The following is a 12,717-nucleotide window of genomic DNA, read 5'->3' as shown; positions in this document are numbered from 1 at the left end:
ACCATGCTGTGTATAAGCTTTTTTAAATTCTTTTTTCCTCCATGCTACCTTTGAGCAAGGCATTAATGCTAGGCAGATGCAAATATTAGTTAGACGTGATGTTTGACTTTAAGGAATCTATTTAGTGGAGGAGACATATACATACACAAATACCTGTCAGTGTACCCTGATACTAATGTCAAAATGAAGCGTGAACAGAGCTGAGGATAGCAAGAAGGATATGTTTATTTCTAACTGAGTCACTCTTGAGGAAAGCATCACAAAGACAGTGGCATCTGAACTTAAGAACAAATAGAATTTCAACCATCAGGGAGAAAGGAATTTGAGACTAAGGAAGCCAGATGTAAAAAGAGAGATAGAAAGGTACAAGAGTAGTCCATTGTGACTGGAACATATGGCATAGAAGAAAGGGAAATAACAGGAGTAGGTTGAAGTCAGATTATTTTGGGCCCATGATTGCCTTTTGCTAGTCTTGCTCCAAAGGGCTCTGTATTAGATAAGGGAATTACGGCTGTCATATTTAACTCTTGGTTCAATTTGCTTGGACTGCAGAAAAATTGTAATAGAGTAGCCTTTTGCTAATGATATACCCCAAAAGATGGAAAACAGCATGTCCAAGAAAATAAAATTACATCAGATCTGCAGGTTTGTGGACCATATTGAGTCCTTCCCCTAAATTGTTTTATCAAAATGAAATCTGGTTAAAATGAAAGTCAGAGCCAGCTTTGGAATAGAAGTTTCAGAATGAAAGGTTGGTAATAGGATATATAAACATTTGCCTTTATTTTTTCAAGTGTCCAATTATCCTTTATGATGATGATAGATCAGGTTATGGACAGGATATATTAAGAACCTTAGGGTTAAATGGGGCTCCCTTTCTATTTTCATCTTAGTAGTACTGATCATCCCTTCCATCTGGGAAACAGTAGGAGGGTTAAGCCATGGACTCTGGAACCAATCTGCTTGAGTTTCAGTCCTAGGTCTGCCACCTACTGCCTGTGTCACTTTAGGGACCTTAACATCTGTAAGATAGGAGGGACAATAATAACACCTACCCTTACTATATACCCATGAAAATTAAAAATCTAAAAAAAAAAAATTTAAAAAGGAGGTGATTGGAAGCTGTTACAGAACAGATCATGAAGATTTTGATTGTGATCTCTGATCCTGGGGGAAAAAAAATTAAAAGAGAAATTAAAAAAATATTTAATAGCACCTACCTTAAAGGTTGCCATAATGATTGGATAAACATAACCAGGTAAAATAGAACAGTGACTGGCAGTTAGTGAATGCTCAGTAAAACTATCTTGAGTTATGCTGGCAGCTCTGTTTGCATGCCACTGATGTGGTGTGTGGATGTGATCTGTAAGTCCTACTTTTTAATCAGTGGCATGCAAGCAGAGCATTGTCTTCTCAACTTGTATAGTAAAACAGTGGTTTTCAGACTGATGGGATGTGTTAGAGGACCAGTAGATATTAAGCGGAGATGGCCACTCTTTATCAGTCAGGATAGCGATGCTTTTATCTATTTTATATATTAGAGGGGTTCCGTGTAAGAATTTGCTTGAAGAAAGTGTTCCGATGCTTTTAAAACAGGTATGTTTGGCCGGGCACAGTGGCTTACACCTGTAATCCTAGCACTTTGGAAGGCCAAGGGAGGAGAATCACTTGAGCCCAGGAGTTCAAGACCAGCCTGGACAACATAGCAAGACCCCCATCTCTATAAAAATTTAAATTTAAATTTAAAAATTAGCTGGGCATAGTAGTGCATGCCTATAGTTCCAACTACTTGGGAGGCTGAGGTGAGAGGATCATTTGAGCCCAGGAGGTCGAGGCTGCAGTGATCCAAGAAAACTATACTTCATCCTGTGCAATAGAGCAAGACCCTGCCTCAAAAACAAAACAAAACCAAAACGCATATGTCAGCCATAAAAAATGATGAGTTCATGTCCTTTGTAGGGACATGGATGAAATTGGAAATCATCATTCTCAGTAAACTATCGCAAGAACAAAAAACCAAACACTGCATATTCTCACTCATAGGTGGGAATTGAACAATGAGAACACATGGACACAGGAAGGGGAACATAACACTCTGGGGACTGTTGTGGGGTGGGGGGAGGGGGGAGGGATAGCATTGGGAGATATACCTAATGCTAGATGACGAGTTAGTGGGTGCAGTGCACCAGCATGGCACATGTATACATATGTAACTAACCTGCACATTGTGCACATGTACCCTAAAACTTAAAGTATAATAAAAAAAAAAAAAGAACAGTATAAGGAACTTAAAAACAAAAACCGCATATGTTCTACAATAGTGTTTCTCAAAATTAATGCTTTCGAATCAAATGTTATTAAAACGCACGTTATGCCAGGTGTGGTGGCTGATGCCTGCAATCCCAGCACTTTGGGAAGCCAAGGCGCATGTATCACCTGAGGTCAGGAGTTTGAGATCAGCCCGACCAACATGGTGAAACCCCATCTCCACTAAAAATACAAACTTAGCCAGGCATGGTGGCGCATGCCTATAATCCAGCTACCTGGGAGACTGAGGCAGGAGAATCGCTTGAACCCCGGAAGTGGAAGTTGCTGTGAGCCAAGATCTCACCATTGCGCTCCAGCCTGGGCAACAGAGCGAGACTCCATCTCAAAAAAAATAAAAATAAAATGCAGATTATGATTTACTAGGTAAGGGATGTGTCCCTCAGTTCTGCATTTCTAACAGACCTCAGGTGGTACAAGTGCTGCCCATTTGAGGGCCATGCTGAATGGCAAGGTTCAAAGGGAAACTGCCTTGCCTTCCCTTTCTAGTGGTTGCTCTCAGCTGCTGATATAGGCTATCAGAATAATCTTTGAAGCTTTTTCCAGCTACAGCTTTATTGATGTATGCTTGATAAATAAAAATTGTATATATTTAAGGTCGACCATGTGATATTGTCTCTCTTAGAAGAGTTCACATATACGATACAATATTATTAGCTCTAGTTACCATGATGTACATTAGATCTCCAGGATTTTTTCATTTTGCATAACTGAACCTTTGTACCCTTTGACCAACATCTCCCCATTTCCCCTACCCCCTGGCAACCACCCTTCTACTCTCTACTTTTATGAGTTTTAACTTTTTAAGCTTGCACATATAAGTTGAACCATGCAGTATTTGTCTTTCCATGTCTGGCATATTTTACTTAACAGAATCAGGTTTATTCATGTTGATTTCCTTCTTTTTAAGGCTGAATAATATTCGTGTGTGTGTGTGTGTGTGTGTGTGTGTGTATGTATATATATCACATATTCTTTATCCATTCACCTGTTTTGTTTGTTTATTTTGAGACAATCACCCTGTTGCCCAGGCTGCAGTGCTGTGGCATGATCTTGGCTCACTGCAGCCTCAAACTCCCTGGGCTCAGATGATCTTCCCACCTCAGCCTCCTGAGTAGCTGGGACTACAGGCACATACCAGCACACCCAGCTAATTTTTGTATTTTCAGTAGAGATGGGGTTTCGCCATGTTGGCCAGGCTTGTCTCGAACTCTTGATCTCAAGTGATCCACCCACCTCGACCTTCCACAGTGCTGGGATTACAGGCGTGAGCCACTTCGTCCAGCCAACCACCATACCTGGCCCCAACCTTTGTCTTTTAGGTGTTTTCCTATAGTGTGAGGATGTAGATGTCGCTCTATTCAGCCTTTTAACACATCTTTCCATGTCCATTTTCTTGTTTTTTTTTTTTTTGAAGCTATTTACTGAAATAGACTCTAAATTTACTAAAGCCTGAAGTCCCACTGCTCGTCTTAGTTCAAGAGCTAAGACTTGAAGCAGTGGAAGGGAATAATTCACTTCTGTTGCCTCAGTAACAGGCTCTCTATAATCAGGGTTGGTTTGATTATGGTCTAGGATTAATATCCCCGGGGTTGTGCTGGCCTTGATATATAAATATATAAACAGCAAAATTTACTAGAAGATTCATTCATCAATGCTTTTATGAGGCTAGAAGTTCAGTTTAAAAGGCAAATCAGGCTTGGCTCAGTGGGTCACACCTGTAATCCCAACACTTTGGGAGGCTGAGGTGGGCAGATCACCTGAGGTCAGGAGTTCAAGACCAGCCTGGCCAACATGGCGAAACCCCATCTCTACTAAAAATAGAAAAATTAGCCAGGTGTGGTGGCAGTTGCCTGTAATCCCAGCTGCTAGGGAGGCTGAGGCAGGAGAATCGCTTGAACCTGGGAGGAGGAGGTTGCAGTGAACCACGATTGTGCCACTGCACTCCAGCTTGGGTGACGAGCAAGACAGTGTCTAAAAAAAAAAAAAAAAAAAAGAAAAAAAAAAAAAGAGTGCCTGTGCAGGAAGCCTACCTTTTTGCTAAAATTATAATCTGTGTTTTGGGTGTCTCTGTAAACTGTCTTGGTATTGTCTAGTTACTTTGTTGTTCTGATTGCAACGTTCTGTGATTGGATTAGCTGCAAAAGGTATAGCAAGCCTCTAAGGACCATCATCTTGCTATCATTTTATACCTTCTTTCTTGAAGTCCTTTTTATCCAAAACGCCCCCTACCCTTCTGCCATTAGTTCAGTCCTACGATATAGCAATACCACTAAGTATGAACTTGAAGCTCACTTTATTTTATGCTTCTCTTTGATTATCACAGCTCTTAAGGAACCACTTTGAGACAGAAATGGTAAAAAATTAAAAAATCAAAATTAAACCAAATATAAAACACAATGAAGATGCATATGTCAATGAGCTTGTCTACTTTGTTGACCAGCTTCGCTTCACATGTACCCTAGCCAGAGACCTCTGCCAAGTTCTTGGCACTCACTCCATCTAAGAATAGGCTGTCACATACGCTGCACCAGATATTCCAAACTACAGCAACCTGATGTGCTAAAATGCCCCACCAAGTATAAGAGTTACATATGAAAATATTGCAGTATAAGAACATTTGACCACAGAAAACTAATTAACACAAACATTTCCCAAATGTAGAAATGATTAGTCTTTTTCAATAGAGAAGTTATTTTAGAACCGAATCAACTATTTTATGCTGTTTCTTATAAATAGGCAGCTGTGTTGAGTTTTTGATACTAGTTCTTCTACAAGTGGACTTTTTGTAGCATAATCAGAGATAACAAAAGAGGAAATAAATGTTCATTTGGACATAACTATAAGAAGAATTGCAATTTCTAAGAATGGAGAGGCAGTCTCTCTATTGTATCTTTTGGAGTCTCTTCATTCTTAAAAGTTGTAATTCCTCTTGATGATGTCAAGAACATTCTCTGCCATAGAAAATTACCTTGTCTTTTGTTTTACTCTGATGCTTAGGCCTCCCATAACAGTGATGCATGCTCTGTTGGGAGAAGGAAGCTTAGGCTGTAAATTTAAGCATTTTAATCAGTAAAGGTTTGCTCTGGGGAAACACATTCGTTTCAGTGAATGTTATTCACTGACAAAAAAAGTAGGTATTTTCATAGCTGTGAAAGATATCTGGTTGATGACTGAAAAACTATTTTGGTTTGTGGAATTTTTTTTTTTTTTTTTTTTAATGAAACCTACAGGAATTTACAGGAATAAGATTAGGTTCCAAACTGAAATTGAGAGTGATTATAATCTTCAGATTGCCCTGGATTTTCACACATTGGCAGTAAACTCATTTACAGATTAACTTCTTGTACTCTTGGGGTTACTCTCTCCCCATTCTGGTTATAATGGCTTGCCTCCAGTGTGGACAAGGTAGAAGATGGGTAGATGCCTGTGGAAATCAGAATACAGTAATTTGCATCAGATTTACTGTGTCCTTTTATCCTGGTTGGCAGGAATACATGGTTTACAGGAAGCATACCTACATGAGGCTTGATGGCTCATCCAAGATCTCGGAGAGGCGAGACATGGTTGCTGATTTTCAGAACAGGTAATGTTCATGGGAATTACAAAAATTATCTTTTTAATTTCCCTCTAGTGCTTGAAATGGTAAGTTTTTTTTTTTTTTTAAATGCCAGGACATCTGAGATTGTTAAGGAATCAAGATGTAATTCCTGCCATTTTAAGAAGTTACTAAATCTGCTTATCATAATTCAGATCTATGTGTCTGGGAGAGAAAAAGAGAATATACCTGATAGTTTGTATGTTTGAAGTATGCTTTCTTATGACACCAGTGCCTATTTCTTTGGATAATAAAAGAAATCATTTCTAAGTATGAACCAAGATCCTCCTCAATGGATAATAGGTATGTAGAAAAAAATCCACCAGCCTGTATTCCTCATTGCTTACAGTAGCCATTTCTTTTTTTTTTTTTTTTTTTTTGTGTGTGTGAGACAGTCTCTCCCTGTCACCCAGGCTGGAGTGCAGTGGCATGATCTCAGCTCACTGCAGCCTCCGCCTCCCCGGTTCAAACAATTCTTGTGCCTCGGCCTCCCAAGTAGCTGGGATTACAGACATGCGCCACCACATCCAGCTAATTTTTGTATTTTTAGTAGGGACAGGATTTCACCATGTTGGCCAGACTGGTCTTGAAATCCTGGGCTCAAGTGATCCACCCACTTCCACCTCCCAAAGTGCTAGGATTATAGGGATGAACCAGTGATCCCGGCCACTAACAGTAGCACTTTCTGAGTAATGACTTAAAGTTATTAGTTTGTTTCTGTGTTTCATTTTGTATAAGAAAAAGTACCTTTTATTTTCCTGCTTTCCTTTTAACATAGTAGCAGTACAGTGCCTTATGACAAATTGCAATACTGTACAATCTACTCAGCTGGCAGCTCTCAGCCACAGTACCTCTCCCACCTGCTAATGAGCCTATGAAATTTCAATTACTGCCTGCTGAATGCTGATGGTTTACCGAGCCATAATTATCCTGAGTGCAGCTTCTCATTGTAATAGGTAGAGTCTGGTTACTGCTTTCTCCAAGGAGAAAGCCAGGCTCCACTAGTGACGGGTCTGTTGAACTTCGTCTTCAGTTTTCCTCCTTAGACCTGGAGAGCCAAGGAATAAAGCAGATCTTAATGTCAGTAAATCAGAACAGCTTTGACTTTGGCTTTTAATTGCATGGCCTCTTAATATTTCACTTCTGAATTCTTATTAAGAAAATTAAGCACATAGCCATTTTATTTAGATTACAATTTTTAATTCCATTCAGTTCTAAAGCATAGTTTAATTCAGACATAAAATAATTTGGCATAAAACACATCCACAATTCAACATAGAGTGTCCTCTGTTTAAAGAATTTTTCCTAAGTTAAAACTACACACCAGAATTCCAGGTGCCTGTTTGACCAACAATAAGGAGAAGATCTGCTTCAAACCCGTTTCCATTTGTTACCCTCGTGCAGCTGTGTGGATAGCCTAACCTAGCTTCTCACCTAGCGGAAGCTACCAGTAGATTCTAAAACCAATTATTTGAAACATAAGCATTGTGCCTCCTTATTCCACCACATTGTTTTGGCAAAAAGAGGAAAAAAAATTACTGGGTGATCTTCATCTTTTCTTAATTCTGAAATCAGTGATACATATTTTATCATGTCATGTCCTTACCTACTCCAGCCTCAGAGCTGCAACTTGACAAGAATCTTATGTGCGAGCTATAGACTGTATGTTTCCTCAGAGTGCCTGTATTTTCTCCAGTCATGCCAGTATATCTGTGATGTGGGCATACTGGTATGGGGTGGCATGCTTTGTGAATTATGAGAAAAGCCATTAAGTAATAGGTATTTCACCTGATACTGTTTTTATTTTCCACTAGTATATTTGATACTGTACATTTAAGGATCTTTTTAACAGTAATGTTTTGTTTTTCTTCAGTAACAGTTGGGGACTTTATAGATTATAATGAAATGCCTATTGAGAAAAATTTGAAAAATATTTAAAGATGAAAATAAAGTCCAGGCACAGTGGCTCACGCCTGTAATCCCAGCACTTTGGGAGGCCGAGGTGGGCGGGTCATCTGAGGTCAGGAGTTCGAGACCAGCCCAGCCAACATGGTGAAACCCCGTCTCTACTAAAAATACAAAAATTAGCTGGGCGTGGTGGTGGGCGCCTGTAATCCCAGCTACTCGGGAGGCTGAGGCAGGAGAATCACTTGAATTCGGGAGTTGGAGGTTAGAGTGAGCAGAGATCCACCACTCCACTCCAGCCTGGGTGACAGAGCGAGACTCCATCTCAAAAAAAAAAAAAAGAAAAGAAAAGAAAAATCACCCACAATCCCACTACTTTTAACATTTTGGTATATCCTCTAGTCTTTAATGTATGTATAGGGTTATATTTATACTATTATATTATAGGTGGGATTTTGTATCCTGATTTCTTCTACTTAATATTCTGTCATAACCATTTTCATATATCATTAAAAAGCCTTTGCCAACAACTTTTGTTTTTGTTTTTGTTTTTTCTGAGACAGAGTCTCGCTCTGTCACCCAGGCTGGAGTGCAGTGGCGTGATCTTGGCTCACTGCAACCTCCACCTCCTGGGTTCAAGCGATTCTCCTGCCTCAGCCTCCCGAGTAGCTGGGACTACAGGCGCCTGCCACCACGCCTGGCTAATTTTTTGTATTTTTGTATTTTTGTATTTTTAGTAGAGACAAGGTTTCACTATGTTAGCCAGGATGGTCTCAATCTCCTGACCTCATGATCCACCCGCCTCGGCCTCCCAGAATGCTGGGATTACAGGCGTGAGCCACCGCATCCAGCCTTGCCGACAACATTTTTAATGATCACTATTCTGTTAACACTGGGTATATATACCACTTTTCTATTGAATAGAAATATCTACTAGAAATGTTGAGTGAATATTTTTGTGTATAAAGCTTTGTCACTATTTTAGATTACTGTCTTAGCATAGATTCAAACATGGGAAATTACTGAGTGAAAGGATAAGAACATTTAAGACTATGTATATTTCTTTGTAGAAAATTCTGCTAATATAGACCCCAACCAGAGCTGTAGTATGTTGACTTCTAGTGATTTGGGCTTCTGAGTTTTAGAGCCGCAGTCGTTCTCCTGGCTTACCCAATTATTAGAAAACTGGGCTGTGAGACCCAGGGCTCAGTATATTTTGCAGTACCTTTGTGGTGGAAAAAAATCAGGAGGTGTATAATTTATTACCTCTGAAATATCTTACTTAACTTGGGAAGCAGAATTACTTGGGCAGTCCCAGTAGTAGTGCACAATGATTTTGAAAAGTTTAGCTCTAAAAGAGTGGCATTTTCACCATTAAATTTTACTTGGCTCTACTTAGTAAAAATGTAATTTTTCACAGATTTTATTAGGAAATCTTGCTTGAGCCTTCAGACTCTACAACTTAGAATTACTTAGGTAACAGTGAATGTTATTTAGAGTCAACATTTGGGTAACCATCATTTTAACACCCTCTGTCTAATATTGGGCAAAATGGAAAAAGAGACTAAAGTCTCCTTCTGATCCCTGCCTACATTACAAACTGGTTGCTTAGAGTTGGGATTATGGCAAAGAAGTAATCTATTTCTCATGTGTAGAATCTGGACTATGCATATGCTGACCCCTCCAAAGGGCGGAAAATGCTCAACTTATAAATTTGAGTGACTGCAATCGCCTGATATAGAGAAAAAGACAGGTGTTTTTGGACACAAGCACTCCTTCCCAAATATTTTAATTACTGTTAATGAAGGACATCAAAAGAAAAAATTGCAGTTTCAACTGGAAAGCCCTGTGGTCAAAGGTCAGCCAGAGTAAACAACAACGCCTATAAAAAGCCATTTACATTCCTTTCATACAAGATTTATTTATGAAGGATCCTTCCAGGAAAAAGTCTGACTGAGACTAAAGACTGTTTGGCCAGGATGTCCTGACGGGGCAGCATTCAGGGCATGTGACCAGTGCGTGATCCTGGAAGCCATTCACAAGGTCTTTGCTCTGTGGTGCTTTGGCCTTTGCTTCCCTTCCTCCTAACCCATGACCTTTACCAAATGGATCCTCTCCCCATTATCTGACCACTCAGTGTGACTCTTTGGAAAACATGAGGAAAAAGTGACTGTAGCATGGATTTTTTCTTTGTGAGTGTTGTAGAGATTCACAGTTGTCTTTCATTGTGGTTGTTTTTCAGTCATTCAACAAGCCTTTACTGCAGTCAGCTATGTGCCTAGCACTATTTGGGTATGTTGGTGCAAAGTCACCTCAGTGGGTTATTAAAGAAGAGTGAGAGCGAGACCTACACATGTCTTTGCTGTGTGGTTTTATAGGCCTCTTTACAGACCAGCCAGATGCCTAGTCTTTAAGGTCTGTTCTAAGAGACCCTGAGTTGAGATGCCTTTTCAGCCTCCTAGAGAGGGCACCCAGACCACCATGCTGCCTTCTGGGATTTTGTTTTCTCCTGTTTAGTCAGAGCCCCTAAAATGTTAATTCACATTATCAATACTATTATAGCGTTATTCAGTAGAAAGGAACTTCTTAGTAGTTTGATTTAGATACTTTTGTTTTTTACAGCAGTATAGTCCACGGTAGGAACTAATTTCTTTGATTATAAGAACCCAAGGTGTCTGCAATTCTTATTTTTTATTACAATATGATAAAATTACATTGAATTCATCTACCTCATCATCACAAGGCATCTTTTCAATACATAATTGATATCCAAAAGAAACCATTGTATTTCTAAGTTTTTCTACTAATTTATTTTTACCTACATTTCTTTCACTAGTGTTCTTCTGTATATAGCCCCTATTTGTAAGTGATTACATCTGAACTAATCTCTGGCTGTACAGACTATGGAAATTACCCATCTTTTTCTTTCTCTTTTCTTTTCTTTCTTTTTTTTTTTTTTTTTTTTTTTTGAGACAGGGTGCCACTCTGTCACCCAGGCTCTGGAGTGCAGTAGAACACAGTAGAGCAATTAGAACTCACTGCATCCTTGACCTCCCAGGCTCTAGTGACTCTCCTACCTCAGCCTCCCAAGTAGCTGAGACTACAGGCTCGTACCACCACACCCAGCTAATTTTTGGATTTTTGTAGAGACAAGGTTTCGCCCTGTTGCCAAGGCTGGTCTTGAACTCCTGACCTCAAGTGATCTACCCACCTCAGCCTCTCAAAGTGTTGGGATTACAGGCATGAGCCACCGCACCTGGCCAGAAATTTCTTATCTTTTTGCTTCTAATACTTTATTTTGTTGTACTTCTCAAATGCCTTGTCTTTTCCCACCAGTCCCCCATACTCCCACCCTGTACCCATTCCCTGACGCCTACCCCATGCTCATATTTTGGGTCTCCTCAAGAATTAACAAAAAAAAGTCCTAGCCATTGGATGACCCCATCAACTCTCACGCAGGTATCAGAGAGGAGCCTTTGATTCCTTGCCTTTGTACCCACCAAAGCAGGAGAGGAAGATGTATGGAGCAAGAGCAGTCTTCTCAGTGCGGAAGTGGGAAGGATTACTTATCCTTTTTAAGAGATGGGATCTCACTTTGTTGCTTAGGCTGGAGTGCATTGGTATGATATATAGCTCACTGTATCCTTGGACTCGGGCTCAAATGATCCTGCTGCCTCAGCCTCCCAGGTAGCTGGGTCTACAGGTGTGTGCCACCATGCCTGGCTAATTTTTTTAAAAAAAATTTTATGTAGATGCAGGGTCTTTCTGTATTGCCCAAGCTGATCTCGAACTCCTAGGCTCAAGTGATCCTCACACCTCAGCCTTCCAGAGATTAGTACGGCCCTAAAAAGCTCAATCAGTTTTTATTTGAAGCCTTATTGTGGTTAAATACTCTTCTTTGGGCCTGTGAGATACCCTGCCTCCTTCCATTTACATCATCCCATATCTGTGGGAAAATGTGTTTAAAAACTGGCAGATGCCCTTCAACTTTTTGGTTTACACTACACAATTTAATCATAAAGATGGCGTTTTATGAATTAAATAAATACAATTACGAAATATTAACCTTTGTGATAAAATTTAAGGATAAGCTAGTAGAACTTGCATGGGAGCACAAAGCATTTGGAATCACTAACTGAGAGACCGCCACCCGTGGTCTGTTATCCATGCCTCTGTAGGAAAGTTGTGTTTAATTCAATGTAAATAATGGGCAGATTTGTACAGGACATACCTACCTTAGTGATTAACCAGGATGTTTATTTCAAAATAGTTCTTTCACCGATACTTATGTTTGACATTGATACGTCATCAGTTAGTCACTTCAGCAGTATTCATAGCATCTTCATTTTATAGTCCAGGAAACAGACTGTCAGCAGTCAAGTGACTTTACCAAGGAAGAATAGCCTGAAGGGATGAGAGCATCCTGATGTCAGTATGTTTGTTTCTGGTGTTTTTTGTTTTTTGTTTTCCTTACTGGAATCCACAAAATAAAATTAATTTTACACTGTGATTTTAGTACCTTTATTCTATATTTGAAACTTCACAAAACATTACTTACCTTTATGACCTGTAATGCATTAGAATATTTTCTAATCTTTTTTCTTTCTTTAATTAATTTCTTAATGCCATCTAAAGCACCAAACTGAGCCCTTATTTGTGTGTGTGTGTGTGTGTGTGTGTGTGTGTGTGTGTAGATAAATCTTAGAGTCAAAAGCCTGTTCTGCCGGGCACAGTGGCTCACGCCTGGAATCCCAGCACTTTGGGAGGCTGAGGCACGTGCATCACCTGAGGTAGGAGACCAGCCTGGTCAACATGGTGAAATCCCATCTCTACTAAAAATACAAAAATTAGCCAGGCATGGTGGTGGGCACCTGTAATCCCGTAATCCC

At 39.8% G+C, this 12,717-nt stretch overlaps 1 protein-coding gene and 1 long non-coding RNA gene across 7 annotated transcripts in view; one reads left to right on the top strand and one right to left on the bottom strand.

Moving 5' to 3' along the window:
* Positions 1-12,717, top strand: part of INO80 (INO80 complex ATPase subunit) — a 137,401-nt gene that overhangs the window by 104,777 nt on the left and 19,907 nt on the right. For 4 of the 6 annotated variants that reach the window (NR_104038.2, NM_017553.3, XM_047432698.1 and 1 more), the window contains one exon: positions 5,817-5,911. Coding sequence is in view for 4 of the 6 variants with exons in the window: in NM_017553.3 (NP_060023.1) it covers positions 5,817-5,911 (95 nt within the window). In the remaining 2 variants the exon portion in view is untranslated. Of the gene's footprint in view, positions 1-5,816; positions 5,912-5,999; positions 6,227-12,717 lie in introns of those variants that run through there. The other 2 variants (XR_001751322.3, XM_011521685.4) reach the window with 2 other exon arrangements.
* On the bottom strand, positions 6,646-12,230 carry LOC105376713 (uncharacterized). The gene is made up of 2 exons (XR_001751508.2): positions 12,064-12,230; positions 6,646-6,971 (listed from the first exon to the last, which is right to left on the bottom strand). It is a non-coding gene; the product is annotated as an uncharacterized LOC105376713 (long non-coding RNA).

The sequence above is a fragment of the Homo sapiens genome, chromosome 15, assembly GCF_000001405.40.
Source record: "Homo sapiens chromosome 15, GRCh38.p14 Primary Assembly".
Classification (NCBI taxonomy): Eukaryota; Metazoa; Chordata; class Mammalia; order Primates; family Hominidae; genus Homo; species Homo sapiens.
Note: the sequence above shows the minus strand (reverse complement) of the source record. Positions and strands in the feature narration are given on the sequence as shown.